General features: G+C 53.0%; 1 long non-coding RNA gene across 1 annotated transcript, besides 6 other annotated features; it reads left to right on the forward strand.

Annotated features, from left to right (window-relative positions):
- Nucleotides 10,873-11,395: an enhancer, noted in NCBI's record as "OCT4-NANOG hESC enhancer chrX:39863451-39863973 (GRCh37/hg19 assembly coordinates)". NCBI's record gives its function as "activates a minimal SCP1, AML or CMV promoter by ChIP-STARR-seq in naive H9 embryonic stem cells {active_cell/tissue: H9 hESC(naive)}" and the evidence as "EXISTENCE:reporter gene assay evidence [ECO:0000049][PMID:30033119]".
- Nucleotides 12,909-13,845: an enhancer, noted in NCBI's record as "H3K27ac-H3K4me1 hESC enhancer chrX:39865487-39866423 (GRCh37/hg19 assembly coordinates)". NCBI's record gives its function as "activates a minimal SCP1, AML or CMV promoter by ChIP-STARR-seq in naive H9 embryonic stem cells {active_cell/tissue: H9 hESC(naive)}" and the evidence as "EXISTENCE:reporter gene assay evidence [ECO:0000049][PMID:30033119]".
- Nucleotides 15,065-15,692: an enhancer, noted in NCBI's record as "H3K4me1 hESC enhancer chrX:39867643-39868270 (GRCh37/hg19 assembly coordinates)". NCBI's record gives its function as "activates a minimal SCP1, AML or CMV promoter by ChIP-STARR-seq in naive and primed H9 embryonic stem cells {active_cell/tissue: H9 hESC(naive and primed)}" and the evidence as "EXISTENCE:reporter gene assay evidence [ECO:0000049][PMID:30033119]".
- LINC03053 (long intergenic non-protein coding RNA 3053) lies at nucleotides 15,925-18,869 on the forward strand. The gene is made up of 2 exons (XR_007068218.1): nucleotides 15,925-16,476; nucleotides 16,693-18,869. It is a non-coding gene; the product is annotated as a long intergenic non-protein coding RNA 3053 (long non-coding RNA).
- Nucleotides 18,716-19,439: an enhancer, noted in NCBI's record as "H3K4me1 hESC enhancer chrX:39871294-39872017 (GRCh37/hg19 assembly coordinates)". NCBI's record gives its function as "activates a minimal SCP1, AML or CMV promoter by ChIP-STARR-seq in naive H9 embryonic stem cells {active_cell/tissue: H9 hESC(naive)}" and the evidence as "EXISTENCE:reporter gene assay evidence [ECO:0000049][PMID:30033119]".
- Nucleotides 19,171-19,220: a silencer, noted in NCBI's record as "silent region_20739". NCBI's record gives its function as "represses an Ori minimal core promoter by ATAC-STARR-seq in GM12878 lymphoblastoid cells {active_cell/tissue: GM12878}" and the evidence as "EXISTENCE:reporter gene assay evidence [ECO:0000049][PMID:35858748]".
- Nucleotides 20,431-20,520: a silencer, noted in NCBI's record as "silent region_20740". NCBI's record gives its function as "represses an Ori minimal core promoter by ATAC-STARR-seq in GM12878 lymphoblastoid cells {active_cell/tissue: GM12878}" and the evidence as "EXISTENCE:reporter gene assay evidence [ECO:0000049][PMID:35858748]".

A 20,523-nucleotide genomic window follows, 5' to 3' on the forward strand; every position in this document is an offset into this window, starting at 1 on the left:
AACTTAGCCAAGCACGGTGGCAGGCACCTGTAATCCCAGCTACTGGGGAGGCTGAGGCAGAAGAATTGCTTGAAACGGGGAGGCGGAGGTTGCAGTGAGATGAGATCGTGCCACTACACTCCAGCCCAGGCGATATACATTCACACAAAACGTTTATACAAATGCTCATAGCAGCATTATCCACAATAGCCAAAAAGTGAAAACAACCCAAATATCCACTAATAGATCAATGGGTAAACAAAATGTGGTGCATCCATACAATGGAATATGATTCAGCCATAAAAAGGAATGAAGTACTGATGCACACTACAGCATGGATGGACCTTGGAAACACTGCTGAGCTAAAGAAGCCAGATAAAAAATGCCATAATTGCATGATTCCATTTATATGAAATGTCCAAAATAGATCAATCCATACAGATAGAAAGTAGAATAAAGGTTGCCTAGGGCTGGGGGTTTGGGGGCAAATTAAGAGTGACTGTTAATTTGTATCTTTTGGGGTGATAAAATGTGGTGATGGGTGCAGTGGCAAGTGCCTGTAGTCCCAGCTGTGTGGGAGAATCACTTGAGCCTAGGGGTTCAAGACCTGCCTGGGTAACATAGCAAGACCCTGTCTCTACAAAAAGAAAAATAAAATATTAGTTGGACATGGTCCCAGCTGCTCGGGAAGCTGAGGTGGGAAGATCACTTGAGTTGAGGCTACAGTGAGCCATGACTGTGCCTCTGCACTCTAGCCTGGGCAACACAATGAGACCCCATCTCAAAAAAAAAAAAATGGTGATGGTTGCAAAATTCTGAATGTACTAAAGAAAACCACTGAATTGTACACTTTAAAGGATGAATTATATGGTATGTGAATTATATCTCAGTAAAACTGTTTTGGGTTTGTTTGTTTTTTGACAGGGTTGTCTCCCAGGCTGGAGTGCAGGGGTGCCATCTCAGCTCACTGCAACCTTCAACCTTCACCTCCTGGGCTCAAGCAATCCTCCCACCTCAGTCTCCCAAGTAGCTGGGACTACAGGCACATGCCACCACACCAAGCTAATTTTTTTATTTTTAGTGGAGACAAGGTTTCACCATTTTGGCCAGGCTGGTCTCGAACTCCAACCTCAGGTGATCCTCCTGCCTCAGCCTCCCAAAGTGCTGATATTACATGTGTGTAATGCCGAGTTTAAAAAACAAAGGGCGGGGGGAATAGGAGCTTCCTACCAAGATGGAGGTGGGGGCAAATGTGACGTCTTTCCATTCCAAGGCTCCTGGATGGATCTCTCATGTCTCTCCCTCCTTCGGGTTCCAGACTCCTGGAGAGCTTTCTCAGCAGCACCCCATACCTTCCCTGCCATGGTGCCTGCTAGCAGCCAGGTTGGAAGCTTCAGCCACACCAACAAGGTACAACCTGCATCACATCATCAGCCTGGCCCCCCGGGTTGGTTTGTTTTTCCAGGGCATAAATGTATTTTATGGAGAAATAAAATGCACAATAATAAAAAGGGGGAGGGGAGTGTTTCCACAGGCCCACATTTTATCCAAAGGGGCTGTGATTTGGCATCCCTGGCTCGAATATGAAATTATTACACAAGAATTGACTCTCGGTGTCTCCGATGCTCCCTGGGATGATTGCTTCTATAACTTATGGAGACAGCTGAGCGTTTGTATTCAAGTGATCACATAAATTAATATCCATATGTGGAAATGGTGTGCTGGGAGCTGGCCTGGTTTAAGAATGCATTCCTTGTAATGATCCTTGCACCTGAAGAAAAATGCCCATCCAGGGGCCCCGAGCGTAGGTCTGGAATACTCTCGTCATGGCTCAGAAGGTTTGAAGTAAAATAAGGCATGCAAAATGTTACCCCTTTAAAGTTGTGAAGAACTGGGTGCTGTTTTCGGCCATGATGTCATCAGAGGGAATGAAGGGAACTGCTTTACTTAAATAAATACATAAATACGCATGTGCCTTAAAATGTAATGTTTCGCTCCTCAGGGATGAGTTTAGCCCAAAGTTCTAATTATACGTATGGCAGCAAAGGCCTCCCAGTCTTCATGCTTGCCAAAAGCTTTTATTTTGCTACGTGACAGAAGACAACATTATTCCTTTCTCCTTAGGAGATTGCCAACACCATGCCAAAGGATCGACAGGGGTGGCAGCAGCACCAGCAGGAACTGCTGAAGGCCTTTGTGTGGGCCAGGCAGGGGACCGGGAGGTAGAAAACCCAGGCCCTACCCTTAGATCACGTAGGTGAGGCCGCAAGCCACAGCCAGGCAAGGCTGCGCAAGCTGGGGCCCAGGGATCCATGGAGGCATGGTACCTGGCACAGACCCAAAAATATTTACTGAATGAAAACACAAAAGAAAAGGAACGGAGTCATCCGAGGCTCCTTCCACCCTCACTTGCTCACTCATTCATTCATTCACTTATTCATTCAGTAAACATTTCTCGGGCTCTTACTGTGTGTCGGCAAAACCCTAAACAATCCTGACTCGAGATAAAGGGGTGTGAGCCAACAGAGCCCTCTCACATGGCCAATGTTTAATTCCACCCAATTCATTCTGGGGCCTTCCAATGCTGGGTAGATTTATAGCCTTTTCAGGTGATGGATGACGAACATGTGCTCAATAGAAAAGGATGGCTATGGGTGGCCCCTACAGATCTGGCCACTTCTTCCTATTCTTCCCCAGACAAGTCTACCTCTGTCCAGGGCAGCCAATCAGCCTCAAATGGGACTTGGCTAAATTTAAAAATAAACTGTTGCTGGGCACAAGGACTCATGCCTATAATCCCAACACTTTGGGAAGCTGAGGATGGAGAATCACTTGAGCCCAGGAGTTCGAGACCAGCCTGAGTAACATAGCAAGACTCCATCTCTAGAAAAAAATGAAAAATGAGCCAGACATGGTGATGCGTGCCTGTGGTCCTAGCTACTCAGAAGGCTGAGGCAGGAGGATCACTTGAGCCCAAGAGATCCAGGCTGCAGTGAGCTGTGATCTGCCCCACTGCACTCCAGCCTGGGTGACAGAGCAAGACCCTATCTCTAAATAAATAAATAAAAAGTGTTTGAAGGCTTCCTTTTTGTATCAAGAGCTGGACAAACCTGGGATAGTGGGACTTCTTCATTCACACACACACACACACACACACACACACACACACACACAACCTTGGTTCTCCCATATCCATCTCTTCACCCCATCCACCTCCATCTCACAAACTTTCACTTTGCCTTTGCAAGGAGGACAGCAGACTTCTGAGAAACCTTAAGAAAGACTCTTCTAAGGTTTCAAGGCCATGGACTTTTCCCTCAGCAGCAGTAATGTGCTGGTAAATATTAAACAACCGAATCTCCCGGGGGTGGGGGGGAAAACCCCGATTGTAGCATTTGCTGATTTCTGTGGTGTAAATACTCCCACCAGGGCCAATTCCAAGCTACCAACATCACATCACTGACTGCAGGGGTTGGGAAGAGACATGTGTCATCAGCTCTCATCGTCTGGCAAGTGCCAGCTCCCACTTGAGAGCTTCAGAAACAAGCCTGGCATTTCCCAGATGCAGCACGAAAGCAAAGGGGAGTGAGGGAGCGTGCTCGTCGGTGGTCAGAGGGCCAGGTCTCTCTTTCCCTGGGACTCTGAGATGCAGTACGGTCATCTCAGGGGCTGCCTTGCTCCCCCCTGGAATCTGTTCCCATGAGAAAGAGAAAGGAAAACCTGCGATCACTCCAGCAGAACCTCAGCTACTCCCCCCAGTTTAGACAAGATTCCTGGCTTCTCTCTTCTTGCTCTCGAAGGACCCAAATGGTAAACACCTGGGAGAGAAGACTCCACACTCCAGAAAGTGAATTGTGATTTCCTTTAAAAGCCTATGCATTCCCACAGTGCAATATTTCATAATAAGAAAATGGGAATCAAAATTCTTCCCCACTAAGAAGGAACAGTGGAATGAGAGACGGAGAAGTCACTGAGGTGGAAAAATTGATTTGCAATATCCACAGCAGATTCGGCGGCTTTAACAGCACCTGGATAAACCCAGCACTTCTGCCAAAGCCTGGATGTTTTTAGAGCAGTGTGCAGCTTCACTACGAGCGATTTGCATCCAAGCCATAAAGGATATGTGGCGGGTTCCAATGCCAGCCTCCAGCTCCTCTTCATTGCGGAACTGCTGATAATCTTTACCGGGCCCCTCTTCCTTTTGCAATTCCTTATGTGGTCCCAAGCAGGTTGGGACCACCCCTCTGGCTTCCAGCCCTCATAACTGGAACCTTGGTTTTTGCTCATGCACTCTGGCAGACTGTATGGTTGCTCAGCAAACTTTACTTCCCTATCCCCACTCCAACCCCTCCGTGGAAGAAGTATACTTCCCAGCCCCATAGATGTTAGATTCAGTTCTATGACTTAATTTGGCCAATGGAATACAAGTAAATGTGATCCGGCTGTGCACAGTGGCTCATGTCTGTAATCCCAGCACTTTGGGAGGCTGAAGTGGGAGGATGGCTTGAGCTCAGAAGTTTGAGACCAGCCTGGCCAACGTGGCAAAACCCCGTCTCTACAAACAATACAAAAATTAGCCGGGCATGGTGGTTCACACCTATAGTCTCAGCTACTTGGGAGACTGAAGTGGGAGAATCACTTGAGCCTGGGGGGGCGGAGGTTGCAGTGAGCCAAGATTGTGCCACTGCACTCCAGCCTGGGCGACAGAAGTAGACCCTGTCTGGGGAAAAAAAAAAAACAGTAAATGTGATCCAATTAGAGGTTTTTGATGTGCTTGTTTTGTTGGGCCTGGCCTCCTACACTCTCACGGTCTGCCATGAGAAGAACATTCCCCCGAGGTACTGCTGCTACTTGAACCTGGGACCGACCCTGGAATGAGAGATGGATGGTGCTAACCTAAATCCAACCCAAAGCCTGAAGGAGAGAAGCCACAGCCATCCGTGAGTGAGAAATGAGTGTCTGTGGTAAGCCACGGGGATTTGAGGTCATTTGTTATGCAGCTGGTTTGCAGTGATAGTTATTACATCCACTCCAGGTTATGTTTCTTTTTTTTTCTTTTTTTTTTTCTTTTTTTTGAGACGGAGTCTCGCTCTGTCCCACAGGCTGGAGTGCAGTGGCATGATCTCGGCTCACTGCAAGCTCCGCCTCCCAGGTTCACACCATTCTCCTGCCTCAGCCTCCCGAGTAGCTGGGACTACAGGCGCCCGCCACCACGCCCAGCTAAATTTTTTTTGTATTTTTTAGTAGAGACGGGGTTTCACCATGTTAGTCAGGATGGTCTCGATCTCCTGACCTCGTGATCCGCTCGCCTCAGCCTCCCAAAGTGCTGGGATTACAGGCTTGAGCCACCGCGCCCGGCCTAGGTTATGTTTAAATATAGAGGCTTTACCAACTTGTTTCTGCAGAAGACTTGGCCACTCACCAACATGGTGTTGGAGACCTTGCAAATCAACTTCCAAATATACCAGTACTTCAAGGATGTATGCATGCCTTTGGCTACAGCAATTACACACATATATGCTTGCCTGAATTAGCAATGGTGTTTGGTTTATGCTTTATCTCTGACAATGAATCATTTGTTAAGTACCTACTGTATACCAAACACTATGTGTCATGTACCTGGACCCTATAATCAAGAACTCACAGCTACAGTTGGGAACTCGAGTTCATAAAAAGGAGAATATTTTAAGGCCCAAGTGAATGATACAGAATGCTGAGAATTCAACAGGGGAAAAAAATCACTTTTAGGATTAGGGAGAGTGGTGGGCACCAAGAAAGTTTTCACAGAAAAGGAAGAAATTGAGATAACCCTTAAAGAAAGAGTTGGTCTCAGATGTAGGCTCAGGGCCAACATTCCAGGCAATGAGTCCAGGTGTGCTCATGTAAGATTTAAGGGGTGATTCATGGAACAGACCAGTTAAGGAAATGGTAAACTGAGCCAATTCACAGAGGTTTTCAATGTCAAAAGACTCACAACTCTGTTCTGTGGGCAAGAAGAACTATTAGCAATTTTCGAGCATGACAAAGCAGTCCTCTTATACTTTGGTTTAATCTGGTGGTAACGTGTAAAATGTGGAAGGTAGAGCAGACCTGGACATCAGGAGACCAGATGGCAGCCTCAGACAATAAGGCCTAAACACAAAGTAGAGACAATGGAGAAAGCTATGCTTATAAAATCAGAATAGGCCAGGCATGGTGGCTCACACCTGTAATCCCAACACTTTGAAAGGTTAAGGTGGGAGGATCGCTTGAGCCCAGGAGTTTGAGATCAGCCTGGGCAACATAGGGAGACTTCGTCTCTACAAACAATTTAAAATTAACCAGGCATGGTGGTATGCACCTGTAGTCCCAACAACTCAGGAGGCTGAGGTGGGAAGATCACTTCAGCTCAGGAACTCGAGGTTACAGTGAACTCTGATTGCATCACTGCACTCCAGCCTGGGCAACAGAGTGAGACACTGTCTTAAAAAAAAAAAAAGATCAGCATATATTAGAGTCAAAAAATCTTCTAAAACAAGTACTCACAAATATTCATTTTACAAATGAAGAAACAGAGGCCCATAGAGGTGAAGTCACTTTCCCAAGACCACATAATGAGTTAAAGCTGAACTGGGAACAGAGTCCAGGAATATCAGTTAAGAATGCTAGGGCCTGGGCACAGTAACTCATGCCTGTAATCCCAGCACTTTGGGAGGCCGAGGCGGGCAGATCACTTGAGCTCAGGAGTTCGAGACCAGCTGGGCAACATGGCAAAACCCCATCTCTACAAAAAAAATACAAAAATTAGCTGGGCGTGGTGACAGGCGCCTGTAATCCCAGCTACTCAGGAGGCTGAGGCTGGAGAATCTCTTGAACCCTGGAAGTGGAGGTTGCAGTGAGCCGAGAGGCAGCCACTGCACTCTGGCCTGGGCAACAGAGTGAGACCCTATCTCAAAAAAAATCTTCTGGCCAGGTGCAGCGGCTCACACCTGTAATCCCAGCACTTTGAGAGGCATTGGCAGGCAGATCACTTGAGTTCAAGAGTGCAAGACCAGCCTGGCCAACATGGTGAAACCCCATCTCTACTAAAGAATACAAAAATTAGCCGGGCGTGGTCGTGGGTACCTGTAATCCCAGTTACTCAAGAGGCTGAGGCAGGAGAATCACTTGAACCTGGGATGCAGAGACTGCAGTGGGCCAAGATGGCACCACTGCACTCCAGCCTGGGCAACGGAGCAAGACTCCGTCTCAAAAAAAAAAAAAAAAAAGTCTTCTCCATTGAAGGTTTTGCCTTATTTGGGAAGGGAACCCCTTCCCAAAAATCTCTGCTTACCTCTAATTGACCAGCACTGAATCACATGGCTACCACTAGCTCTAAAGGAGCCTGGGGACTTGAGAATTTCACTTATGTAGCCTCTGTGGTAGAGGATGAGAAGGCAGAAGGGAGCTGGAATGGGTGTAAGACTAACTAGAGTATTTGCCTGATGCCAGCTCTCTTATCTCCTGGTCCAAGACTTGTCGTATTTTACATCGTGACAGGGCTGGCTGCAGTGGGGTAAGAAGGAGAGGGGGACCACACACGTTTATCTAGACCAGAGCCAGGGAAGATGGCCACCTTTTTCCCAGATGTTGATAACACCTCTCTGGGGACATTAGGAACTGCTCAAAAGAAGGGAGACAAGCTGCTAATGTATGGTGGACAAGGAGAAAGAAGCAATGTAATTTACCCCACAACAAACTAACGATTACCAGGCATTTACTACTATGTGGTAAGCATTGTATTCAGACCCAGATCTGGGTAAAATATAGAAGATCAAATTAAGAGAAATGGCCGGGCATGGTGGCTCATGCGTGTAATCCCAGCACTTTGGGAGGCCAAGGCGAGCGGATTGCTTGAGGTCAGGAGTTCGAGACCAGCCTGGCCAACATGGAGAAACTCCATCTCTACTAAAAATGCAAAAATTAGTCTGGCGTGATGGCAGACGCCTGTAATCCCAGCTACTCGGGAGGTTGAGGCAAGAGAATCGCTTGAACCCAGGAGGCAGAGGCTGCAGTGAGCTGAGATGGCGCCACTGCACTCCAGCCTGGCAACAGAGCGAGACTCCGCCTCAAAAAAAAAAAAAAAAAAAAAGATCAAATTAAGATAATGGATAGAAGTCAAGAAAATGTCCTTGGAAAGAGGGCAAGAAAACAAAACAGAAAACCAAAAGAAGAGAACTTAATCCTAGGAGAACAGCTTAGGAAAGGGTTTGAAAGCAAAGCATGAAATCCTGAACAGGCTCCACCAGAAATAAAAGCAAACATTCTCCTTGGCACCAACTAGGATAAAAGATGCCCCAGCACACCAGGCTCACTTCTGGGTGGGTCCTTCAGAAAGATGTAAAAAGACCAGAAAAACAACTAAAATAATGACAAAGCTTCTTGAGCTATGCCCTGTGGTAGAGGGAGAGGTCTGGGTTTCCATCCAGGTTCCATGCCTCTTAGATCTAATTTCTCCAAATCTCTACATTTCTCCGAGATGGCAGGTAAATCAAGACTCTGTCAGCTGCAAGCGATAGAAAACTTAAGTCAAAGTGATGTAAGTAAAGAAAGGGAATTTATTGGCACAAGTAACTGAAATATCCTGGGACAGGGCTAGCTTCAGGTTCAACTGGATCCAGGGGCTCAAACAATGAAGAATCTGTTGCCGGGCTCTACTCTGTCTTTGCTGGCTCCATTCTCAGGCCGCCAGTCATCCCAGGCTTATAGCCTATCTTTTTGGTAACCCCAATAGAAAGTGCAACTCTTTTTTCCACTAGAAACAGCAAGTTCTGGCCAGGCGCGGTGGCTCATGCCTGTAATCCCAGCACTTTGGGAGGCCGAGGCAGGTGGATTACTTGAGGTCAGGAGTTCGAGACCAGCCTGGCCAACATGGTGAAACCCCGTCTCTACTAAAAATACAAAAAATTAGCCGGGCGTGGTGGTAGGCGCCTGTAATCCCAGCTACTCAGGAGGCTGAGGCAGGAGAATCACTTGAACCAGGGAGGCAGAGGTTGCAATGAGCCAAGATCACGCCATTGCACTCCAGCCTGGGCAACAAGAGTGAAAGTCCATCTCAAAAAAAAAAAAAGAAAAGAAAAGAAAAGAAAAGAAAAGAAAGAAAGAAAGAAAGAAAGAAAGAAAGAAAGAAAGAAAGAAAGAAAGAAAGAAAGAAAGAAAGAAATAGCAAGTTCTGAAATTGTCTCTCTGGGACCCACTTGGGGTCCACACCCACCTCTGAACCAACTGTTGTGGCCCAGGGTGGGGTGAGGGAGCAGGTTCAAATGCTCTATTCATCCCTCTTCTACAGCCAGGAGATGGAGTTGGTCCCCTCCCCACAAAGCACAGGGACTGAGAGTCACAGAGCAGTGGCTCCCCCAAAGTGTGGGTTCTGAATCTAGAAGGGGGGCCAAATGTTAAACAAGCAAAGCCAAGGCTGTCTACCACAGAGGAGTTGCCAAAAAAGCCATAAGTACCAAAACCTCCCCAGTCCATCAAAAGCTGCCATTCGCCTCTACCCAGCTACATCCAGTTTTGGGGATTAGAACCCTAGCTACATCTGGCCTTATCAAAGAGAATACCAGAATGTCTAAGCTGAAAAGACCCTTGCAAATCATCGCCCTCCGCACCCCTCAGCTCACCAGGGTGCAGAGAGGGGAGGAGGCCTGCCTAAGTGTGCAGGAATAGCTCAGCTGCAGAACAGGACAAGAACAGACCTACAAAATTGCAGCCAAGCGTTCTTTAACTTCCTCCTGCAGCCTCCTAGGGAATGGTGCATAAAGGACTAAACAAAACCCCAGAGAATGTCACCAGAAATGGGAACAGGTTCTGGCCAGCCTACTGTGATAGCTCAGTGAAGAATTTCTTTGGGGAAAACAAAATCCTCTTGGACTGAAGGAGGCCGGGGCTGCACAAAAGGCTGGGATGTCCGGGGCCCTTCCGGCCTGGATCAGGAACAGTGTGGCTAGGGACCTAGCATTTTTCTACGACAGGCTGATCTGGGTGGAGGAGGTCCAGAGCTGAAAGACCCCCTCATGGACATCATAAAACATACACCAATGAGAAAGAGCTGGCTGAAGCAGCTCAGAAAACCACACACCTTCTTCCTGAGAACAGCAGTCCTGGTATCTGATCAGTAGTACCTCAAAGGCCTACCACTCTGACCTGCTCCCTGCAATGACATCTGCTTCCCACCTGCCCCCAGGGAGGCCACACGTCCCCTTCATGTTTTCACCAAGAGGGAAAAGATGGTCTCTCACCTGGCTTCCCTTTGATCTTTCCCTTCCTGGCCAACATCCAGGCCTGGCAGTAGCATTTCTCAGAAACCTGGGGACAAGTTTATCTGAGCACCAGATCCATGTCAGGGGGGATGTTTTCACGGAGATGTGTTGCAATGTTCTTTATTACATGCTTTTTCTCTCCTTGCCTTTTTTTAACAAGACTCCAGTGGGAACACCAAATGGCCTCAGACCCTAAGGAATTTGAAAGGATTATCATGATTACTTAAGCAGGGGTTTTCTGAAACTCCCAGCCAAGTGGGAAAGAGAATGAAACTTCTAAAGTTATATCCCTTCAGCGATTGGTTAGATAAGTGTGGGGCCTGAGCAAACAGACAAACCAGGAGCAGCATTTCTCCAATTAACTCTTTCAAGGCCTAGAAAACACACACTGGAAGCCTTTGAAAGTCCCTCGGGGCACTGGTACTCTATAATTTACCAAGACAAGCCTTCATTCCTTAAATAAAAGTTCATGAACCGATCCTTTCTTCATCTGTTTTTATGCCTGCCCGATCCCCCAAAGCGCTACAACTCCATCCATCCCAAGCCATCTCATTCTTCCAAGCAGAAAGCAGTCCCTGAGGGAGGAAGGCAGCTGCTGCAGGGCTGGCCAGAGACTGTCCAAGAAGTCTCAGATCTCGTGGCCATGAGAGGAATCCCATCTGCAAGTCACCCTAGTAGCGGAACCAGATGGAAGGCCTGGCCTGGTGGCAATTCTGGTCTGGCCTCCCAAGATGGCATCACAGGCCTCCCCTGGGTCTGAGAAGCACCTGTGAGAAAGCCTCAAGGCACATACAGCGACAGGAGCCTTTGCTGCAGAAAGAAAACTGCAGGAGACAAATCTCCCTAGTTCCAGAGATATCATCCCGGATCAACATGACAAAGGTGGAGGTGGTTGCTGGCTTGTGCCCAGGCACGCAGGCATAGATAGGGCAGGGAGCCCCAATGTCAGAGCATAAGAGCAGGGAATCTCTGCTTTCAAATTCCCATCGAGTTTGCAAAAAAGGAAGAAAATATCCCACAAAAAGTGACGCAAATTTGTGTAAACCCAAGGATTCAGGATCCAGAGTCCTGGCCTGTCTGTATCTGGGGGAACCCAGGTTAGCTCACGGGACAGGTTTTATCTTAATGAGGGCAGACCCAACCCCTGCAGCTTGGGTTTGGGCAACTAAAGAGAAATGGGTAAAAGACAATAATATAATAACTGTATAAAAAGAGGTGCTTTTGAATTCTGGAAACAACCCCTACAAAGTACGAAGGGCATCAAGACAGGTTGGAGCAATAACTTTTCCAAGAATTGACGACCCCCCCACCCCGAGTCTTGCCAATCCTGGACCCAGGAAAGAGGATGGGGCGGGAGGGGTCTTAATCTGCCGCTCTACAGGCTTCCTGCATAGGCAACCACCCAAAGTCAGTCCCAGCCCGCGCGCAGGGCTCCCTCCTACCCTACAACAGCCCCGAGGGGCCTCAAGTCCCACTGCCTGGAACCCCACAAGCCACCCCCGCCCCCGCGCCATTTCCAGTCCTCTGGGCGAGGGGGGTCAATGTCGTTCAAGTAATTTCTCTGCGAACACAAGATGGCAGCCTTAAATAAATGCAACCCTGCGCAGCTTTTAATCTTACACATCATTAAATTCCTAATTTACACATTATGTTTTCGTGGGCCAACCCATAACTCATTAGTGTTGAACTCACGAGGTATAAAGACCAACGCACGACGGGCGCCGGGGCGCCGTCACCTGCCTGGGTTAACAGTTCCTGCCGCGGGGGCAGGGAGAAAGGCGCTAGAGGGGCGCGGGGTGCCGGCGGGGCCGAGCCCGGGGCGCGGGCGAGCCCTGGGTGCCAGGCCCTGCGCCGCACGCCACTCTCGCAGCGCTGCCGCCGGGAAAGTGCCGGCGCTGGCTCTCCCTCCCCTCCCGGGAATAGCGGGCGCAGGCACGCACATCCACACACATCCACACACACACACACACCGCACACTCACACACCCGGGTGGCCGCGCGGGGCTCCGAGCCGCGCAGGCCTCCTTGGCAGACATCTTCCTGTGGGAGGATTTCAAACGAGCCGTGAAAGCCAGAAACTACACGGGTTACAAACTCCGGAATCCCTGGCCGGCCTCGGCCTCCCTCCCCACCTCCGGCCCGGCCCCCTCCGTTCGGCCCGTGGCCAGGAGCCCCACCAAAGGACAAAGCTCACACGCCGAAAGCGCGGGGAGATCCGGGGGCGCAGAGACTGCCCCGACGGCCCTTCTACCTTCTGACCCTGGGACCCACGGCCAAGTGCCGCGCAGCCGAGGTCGGCCTTGCTGATCTGTGGTGGCCCAGGGCGACCCGAAGCGCACCGGCTTCAGGGTGCGCCCTGGCCAGGGCGTGGGGTGGAGGGTCACATAAGCCACCTGGCATCCGAGGGTGGCCGCCTCGCCCCCTCAACGCCGCTCTCCAGGGAAGGAGGCGGCGGGGTCACCAGGGCGCAGCTGACAGCCCCAGGCCCCGGCCAGGGCGCACCCTAAAGAAGAGGGAGGCTGCTGCCTGAACTGGCCTGGGGGCAGAGGGAAGTGGGCCCCGCGCTGTGGAAGGCCCCAGGCTGGAGCGCCGGGGACAGCTGTCCAAGCGGCGAGGGCTAGGAGTGGCCTCGCCTAGCGCTGAGCCGGCCAGGCCCTGGAGGTGCTCCGCGCCTTCTCGGCCAAAAGCCAGCTCCGCGCCGCTGGCGGAGTGGGAGGGAGGCGGCCAGGCGAGCGCCCCGCCTTCGTCGCCCGCGGTCACAGGGGCAATTACACTCCTCGCTGCAGACGGTTACCAGCTCGCCCGCGCATCCCTCTCTCGGCTCCCCTCTCCTCCCCTCTCCTCTCCTCCCCTCCCCTCCTCCGCGGAACTGCTGGCTCCATATTAGCGAGGGTGCCCTGGCAGCGCGACCGAGGCCAACTACCCCTGGGGACCCTCCCGAGGCTCCCCGCACCCTGCACACCCTCAAGATCGCCAAGGCGAGCCCACCGCACCCCACAGCGCGTCCCAAGGGCACCACAGCCGAGGAAGCGACTTTTGCGGTAGCGAAAGGGTGGCAGTACCCAGCTCCACGCGCTGCAAGACTCTAGCAGCCGCGCTTCACCCCAAAACTCTGCCCCTAGCCAGCACAGCTCCCCTAGCGCCCCAAATCCCAGGTGTGCCTGTTTCCCTGGAGTCCCGCCGGCGTGCTTTGCTATTCGCAGCTCGACGCCTAGACCTCCTGACTGCAACCTCCGAGGCCTTTGCGCTCCCAGGCGTCCTTTGCTGCAAGCAAACAGGCCCCCAACCGCCCCCTATGGTTTGTACTCTTCTGGAAGGTGTCTTTGGCGCTGTGAATGCAAACTCAGGCTTTGGATTAAGGGCTTCATTTTCAACTAACTGTGTGATTTGAGGCCAGTTTCTTAACCTCAGTTTCTTTATCTACAAAATGGGAGGGATATTCGTATAAGTGTGGCTACGAGGTTTAAAGAAGATATAGTTATATGTCAAATGCTTAGCACAAAGTCCTGGTGGTTAGCATTATTATTACCATATGGCCAGAACTGTGAGGACATTAAAAGTGAAGTAGGCTTTTTCCCACCAGGGGTAAGCCTCGCGGAGTCCTAGGACACATCCCACAAACCGAGGTGAACCTAAGCCACCGGCTACGTCTGAAGGGAGGACAGACGAGACGAGGGGCAGCCAACTGAGCGAATCACTCTGCCTTCCGCCTTTGCAAATGAATAGGGCTCTGTCTACAGCTTCCGCCATTCCTACGCCAGATCTGCAACGCCTAAGGCTTAAACTTGGCGCGGCGGTAAATTTAGCCCGAAGGCAGCGGCTCCTAAGGGGCGGGGATGTCTCCTTGGAAGAAGGAAAGGGAACAGGGTAAGAAAATGGAGTTGCCTCTAGGAAGAAGAATCAGGCAGAGGAAACATTCAGGGCCGCTGGCGGACCACTGACAAAAAGAAATCGGACGCAAAAGAAACCTCCCCAGAAGAAACTGGGCCACCGTGGGAGCCGTGCGAGACAGACTTCCCATCTGGGAAGGGCTGCCTACGGGTAATTGGGTTTGCTCGAGTTGCCTCTATAATTAATAAGTGATTTGACTTGGAGATTGGAAATAGTCATGAAAGGAAGCCGCGGGCGTAGGGGTGTGAGGCCCAGGAGCCTCCATCCGAAATCCAAAGACCGCGGAGGAGGACGGTTTAAGGAACAGGACGAATGTGATAATATTGGCATCTAACCTTCTAGTGTTTGAGTAATTCGTTGCTTAGCTACTTTGGATAGGCCATTATTTTGCAAACTGGAAACATTTGCAAGTGGTGATATTTTGCTCTTGCCTGACGCAGGGGCTGCAAACCTACGCCGGCTCTGCTGAACTCTTCGAAATATATATGCATAAATTGTTCCTAATGAGACCATCTGTTTTTTATGGCCCCTCTGGAAGCAGGAGGAACCCGAAGCCTGCTCCGTCTTGCAGAAATCTGTGGCCAGGCAGGCCTGGGAAATAAATAGGGGAGATTAGAACGGTGTGCGTGATTTAACAATACGCAGAACGGCAAGTTCGGTGGTCGAGATGTGTGCCTCGATTCCCAGGGGTGCGGGTCATTTAGGGTGACTCCAGACATGGGGGTTCCTCCTAGGAGGCCCAGGGACTTTGCGGAGTTCCACGGCACACACGAACCTCGTTTTTCCATATCTGGAACATCGCCAGAGCCACAACGCGAAACCACGAGCCTGTAGCTGCTCTGGGGACCCAAAACAAGCACCCAGGTTGTAGGTGGTCCCCGACGTCGCCCACTATCTAGGGCCTCCTTCTACGGTGGTGAAGGGAGCTGAACCTGGGCCACAGAGGCAGAGAACGAGCATCACTCCACCCCATACCCGGGTCAGAGCACAGAGCTCATTCCGGGCCTATCCCAAAGACTGAGCTGCTCCGCGAGCGTCTGGCAGGCCCAGCGCCCCGGCCTGAGACCGCACTGAGGGTGGCAGGGCAAACACTTTTCACATTACCGCGTGGCTGTTAATTGGGGCAGTGCAAAAGACGCCGCGACTACCCCTTTGCGGCGGCGGGGGAGGGGGGAGCGGGTCAGGAGTGGGCAGTGGGGGCTGCTTATAATAGAAGGACTGCCCTGGGGAGCCTCAGATATCGGTAACCCCCATGATTAATTCATAACTCTCCACTGCGCCTGGCACCGTCTCGGGTCTTTAATCGGTTCTGAATGTCAGCGAGGCTTCCCCGACAGCCTGAGCACTGCTTTTTCAATGTGTTGAAAGTCGCTGCGCGCACACCAGGAGACAAAGTTGCCATCTGCTCCGGGGACCAAGGCAACTGGGCGCTGGGAGGGGCCTTCCTCCCGCGGCTCCCGCTGCCCCGGGCGGCCTCCTCTTCCCGGCCTGCCCCAAAGCCAACACTGTCACCCGGAACGTCCCCGCCCCCCGCCCCGGGTGCATGCATGGTGGAAACTCCGGCTTGCAGCGAAACAGAGCGCTGCGCGCGGGCGCGCAGGGAGCCTCGCGGTCACCCAGACCGAGACCTATGCTAATGAGATTATAGGCCCGGGTTGTTTGTGTGCGCGGACGTCAAAGGGGGGGCGCAGATAAAGTGTGGAAACCGGGATGACTTGGAGGGGGGAGGGGCAGGAAGCCCCAGGAGAACAAAGCTCCTGGCCGTCGGCCTCCAAAGAGTCGCAGAAGTGACCGCCACTGGCTCGTGCACAGGCGGAAGCGGGGGAGGGCGGGGGACGCCAGGCCTAAAGCGCCTCGTGGGTTTAGAGAACTCAGAGAGGGCACCGGGTGGGGGTGGGAAGAAGACTCAACCCGTAGCTAAATGTTTGGCCTTTGGCTATTTTTTAAGGAAACGAATCTCAGGGAGGTCGGGGCGCGGGGGATGGGGGCATCATCGCGCCTCGGAGATGGGAAGCGAGTTCCCCTCCGCTTTCTGGGAAAAGCCTTGTCTCCCTTCTTTCCCCTCCCCCCATCCTGCTGAGGGTTTGCGTTGACCCATCTCTCCGCTCGGGACCGGCAGGAGGACGGAGCCGCAGGGGCTGACCGCGGCCCAGAGGCTGCCCAGGGGTCGCGCTGCTGCCGGCCTGCGCTTCCGCACTCCCGGGTTCGGTGCGTCGCCTCTCGCGGCAGCGCCTCGCTTCTTCCAGACTGTAATTCCACACTCCCGCAAGCGCTGGGGCTGCGGAATCGTTTGAGGGAGTTGGAACTGCATCAGATGAGCACGCCGGGAGGTGAGATCGGGTAGGAAATAGCCGAAACTTTGAGTTGTGCGCCACCCCACCGCCCCCAACACACACACACAGGCACACACACACACACACACACACACACACACACATTTACCCTCCCCCTTCCCAGCCGCAACCTCCGCCACCCTCTCGATTCTTCAAGGTTTGCAGCCCAGTCCTGTCATATGGTTTTGTTTCTGTGCTGCTGTTTTTTTTCAGACACGAAAATTGGACACGTGGAGAATTAGCCCTGCTGGAGAAGCGCTGGGTGCAGACTCAAACAATGGTTTCCAGCGCCGAAGCTGAGGCATCACCTTCCCCACCTCCACCCTCAAATGGCAGCTGCCTCTATATACAGCGGGCACACCCCTTCACTACCCACCCCCTCCCCCAAAGCCTGGTTAGGGACCTATGTGGGCTGCACGCTCTGGAGCCCCTTGCCCGGACACAAACCCTAGGTGGGCCTGGGCTGCCCGCTGAGTAGCTCATTGCGCCTGGGATCCCCTGGGATTTAGAAGTATAGGGCTCTCTATTTTTCCCTAGGAAGGTCCTGTCTCAAAGATGCCACCCCCAAAAATTAATGTGTAAAAACCCAACCAAGCTCCAGTCTCTGTGTCCTTTGGCAAATCTATCTTTCCTAGGGCATACTTTCCTAAGCTGCTGGGACCTTGCCCCCCATCTGATGAGCCATACGCAGGTGGTCTGGCCTCTTCAGAGCAGCTTCCTTTAGTTATTGTCTTCTCCAGAGGCCCCATCCTCCACGGCAGCCCTAATCTTAGCCCCCCAGCCTCTCTGAGCCCCCATCCCACCCCCACACTGCGCTGAGCTGGCAGCAGCCACAGCTCCCCCAGGCAGTTCCTCTCTCACTGCGCGGCCTGTGCATCTCGCTGGGGCACACACTCCGCACAGAAGCTCCCTCGCCTCCTGGAGCTGGTTTCCTCTTACAGGCTCCCCTTAGAGCTGCTGGTGCTGTGACAACGCCTGCATCTCTGTGTCTCCCTGCAGCGCTGCGAGCTGTGAATCTGCCTTCTCTTCCCTTCCTGCAAAGGTCAAGCTGCCTCCTTCTCTCGCAGGGCCGCAGTTCAGTTCTGGCCTGCAGAGCTTCTACACTGCAACTTGAATATGGGAATGGGGTGGGCATCGTGCAAGGGAGCAGTCACACTCAAGCCAGGAGGCAGGGACAAAAGGGTGTGCGATTCAGGGAGGGAAACACTGAGGACAACCCTCAGAAAGCAGTGCAGGATTTGCAGCTAAAGACTCAAAAGAGGGAGAGAAAACGAGGAAAAGGCTGTTACTAGGTCGTGAGTCCTGAAGTGTAGGCCTTTCTCCTCCCACCCCGTGGGTTGCCCTAGGGGAAGGCCAGAAGAGGCCTCAGGTGTCTGCACTGTGTCCTGTGCAGTTCCTAGGGCCATGCACTTCCGGTGAGGCTGCACTTTACTCCAAGCAGGAGTCAGAAGCATGGAATTCAGTGGCCGCAGGAGCTCAAGTCGGCTGCAGCCCTTTCAAAGAGGGACCCCGAAGAGGCCTTTCTGCCACCCCAGCCCCAGAGAGGCTATGAGGCTCTACAAGCAGCAGAGAGAATGATACGGAGAAAAATGAGAGGAAACGCTATTAAACTTGCTTCCTCTAAAGAGCGCTACCCACCGTTTTCTCTGAACTGTACCTAAAAAGTCAGGAGAGAACTCGTTAACTTTTGTTTGGTTTAACATTGCCAGCTTCAAGTCAACCGTAGGCCCCCCGAAGGTTTTGTAAAATATTTAATCTAGCTCAGACAATTTCCTGCAGTCCCTAACCAGACCACCCCACTTACTGAGCCGCTGCCAAAAAGGATGCTTGACTGCAGACTGGCAACCAGAGGCCTTCCAGTCGCCTGGCTGGCCTTGACCTCCACTCGAGGCGCCAGGAAAGACCCTTCCCGGAATCCCGAGAGACCAAGACCTGGGTAATCCTGGAGGTCTAAACCCGTGAGGAAGCCCAAGAAATGGAGTTAAAGACCCTTTTCGCACAACCGATTGTTGTCTGTGTGACCTTCTGCGGCCCTTGCCCTCTCTGAACCCTCTAAAATGGGCATGAGGATGTCTCACCTTCCTCTGGGTGTTATGCATTTTGAAGCGTGGGCACTATGGGAGAGGCTGACGCTCTGTGTTCCCCAGCGCCCTCCACTCCCACCCCTTCACTGTTTTCTTCGACATTATCTCCCTAGAGAACACAGCAAGCAGGAGCGGGATCCTTCGACTCGGCTGACTCTCAACTCCTTCCAAACGTGAGGCTGACGGGGAGAACTCCTGCTCTGCCCAGTTTCCATTCCCGCCTCCAGAATAACGAGCCGAAAACATGTGTACTGTAAATAAAGCCTGTCTAAATAAAGCACTCGGGTAAAGGCTACCGAGAAAACACTCCGCATCGCTCTGTGCTCAGAGCGTGAGTCAGCTTCCCAGCCCCGGGGGAACAATGGGGACCTTGCCAAGGGTCCCCTTCTGTCGACCCCTGACGGCCCCCAGGCCCGTTTGGGTGGCGGGAGTGCCGGCACCCTGGGACCTTCGGGCCCGAGGTTCGGGAGGGCTAAGGGCGCTCCAGGCGACCAGGGTTGGGGTCCAGCCCCAGGATTAGCGCGGCCAGGAATCCCTCTGCCCGCAGCTGCCGCGGAGGGGTTGAGGGTTAAACAGACACCGGGCAGAGGAGCGAGCCTGCCGGCTGCGGCCGGCGCGGCGCGGCGCGGGGAGAGGACGGGAGGGAAGAGGGCGCACGCTACCTAGCCTCCCGACGAGAAGACGTCTCCTCCCCACGTCAGGCCGGGCTCTCGCCCACTCGGCTGGCCGCCTCTGCTCCCTGGCCTCTCAAGTCTCAGCGGAAAGAAACGTAGCGGCTGCCAAAAGCACCCCACTCCTTTTATTGTCCCCATAAGCCTATACACGTACACTAGCCACCCCCCCAACACACACACACAACACGCACACGTGTGCGGGAGACTCGAGGATGCCCTGCCTCCATCGCTCACAGAGTGAGTACCAAGGCCGAGCGAAACGGCACCCCTTTGGTGGAAGACACAGTGTTGGGACCAGTGGTGGCCTCCGCGCTACGTCTTCTATCGCAACCTCTGGGTTTCCTTTGCAGAACTGCATACCCCAGAGCAGAGGCCATGTGGAGACCTGCGGCTTGGTCCCGACTGGTGCAGTGGCCTCTGCTCTGGTGTGGGCTGGCGGTTTCCCCGCGCCCGGTGACCTTAAGGGGGTTTCCGGAGTCGCGCAGCCAGCCCTTCCTCCCAGCTTCTCCGGCCAAGGCCGCTCTCGGCCGCCCAGCCTGGTCGGGCTCGGCTAGTCGGCTCCTCGCCCCGGGCAGGAGTGCGGTTGGTGAAAGCACTCGGGGCCTCACCCACGCTCTGTGCACACGCGCCCCGCCGGGGCGGGAGCCGGAGCCGCGCTCCAACAGCCCGAAATTGCCAAATGGTCGCTGGGCAGGGTTGGGGATAGACTTTGGGAACCGGGTTTGAGCTGGAGAAGACGAGGAAAACGAGTGAAACGGGAGAGGCGGGGTGGGGTGACGGCTCATAAATCATCCAGCCCCACCCTCGGGCCTCAGTGCAGAGGCGCCCTAGCCCCACGAGGAAGAGGAGGTTCACCCAGCCACTCCTGGCCGACCTCTGAGCTCTCCGGGAGCCAGCGCCCCACCCTAGGCTCAGGCCGCGCTAGGACCAGCTCCCGGCCCAGATCGTAAACCACCCGCCGGAATCGGCGGAAAGCCGCCCTTGGACACAGCGCGCATCCGCCCAAGGGGAAGTTTATTTATAGCTTGTAAACGTAAAGGAAACCAGACCGCGCTACCTCGCCGCGCTCCGGCTGCTTCGCTCCCCACCTGCCCACCAGGAGGGCGCGACGGGTGGAGGGAGGTGGGGTTTGGTTCTGTGCCCCCCCTCCCCCGCTCCCGCTCCGCTGCCAGGGGAGAACAGGGTCCTAAGAGGCTGGCAAGCCTTACATTCCTCTCGGGACGCCTATCCAGTGCCATGAAAGCCGGAGGGGGCGGAGGACAGGGCCCGGGCACCGGAGTGGTTAG

Source organism: Homo sapiens, chromosome X (assembly GCF_000001405.40).
Source record: "Homo sapiens chromosome X, GRCh38.p14 Primary Assembly".
Lineage (NCBI taxonomy): Eukaryota > Metazoa > Chordata > Mammalia > Primates > Hominidae > Homo > Homo sapiens.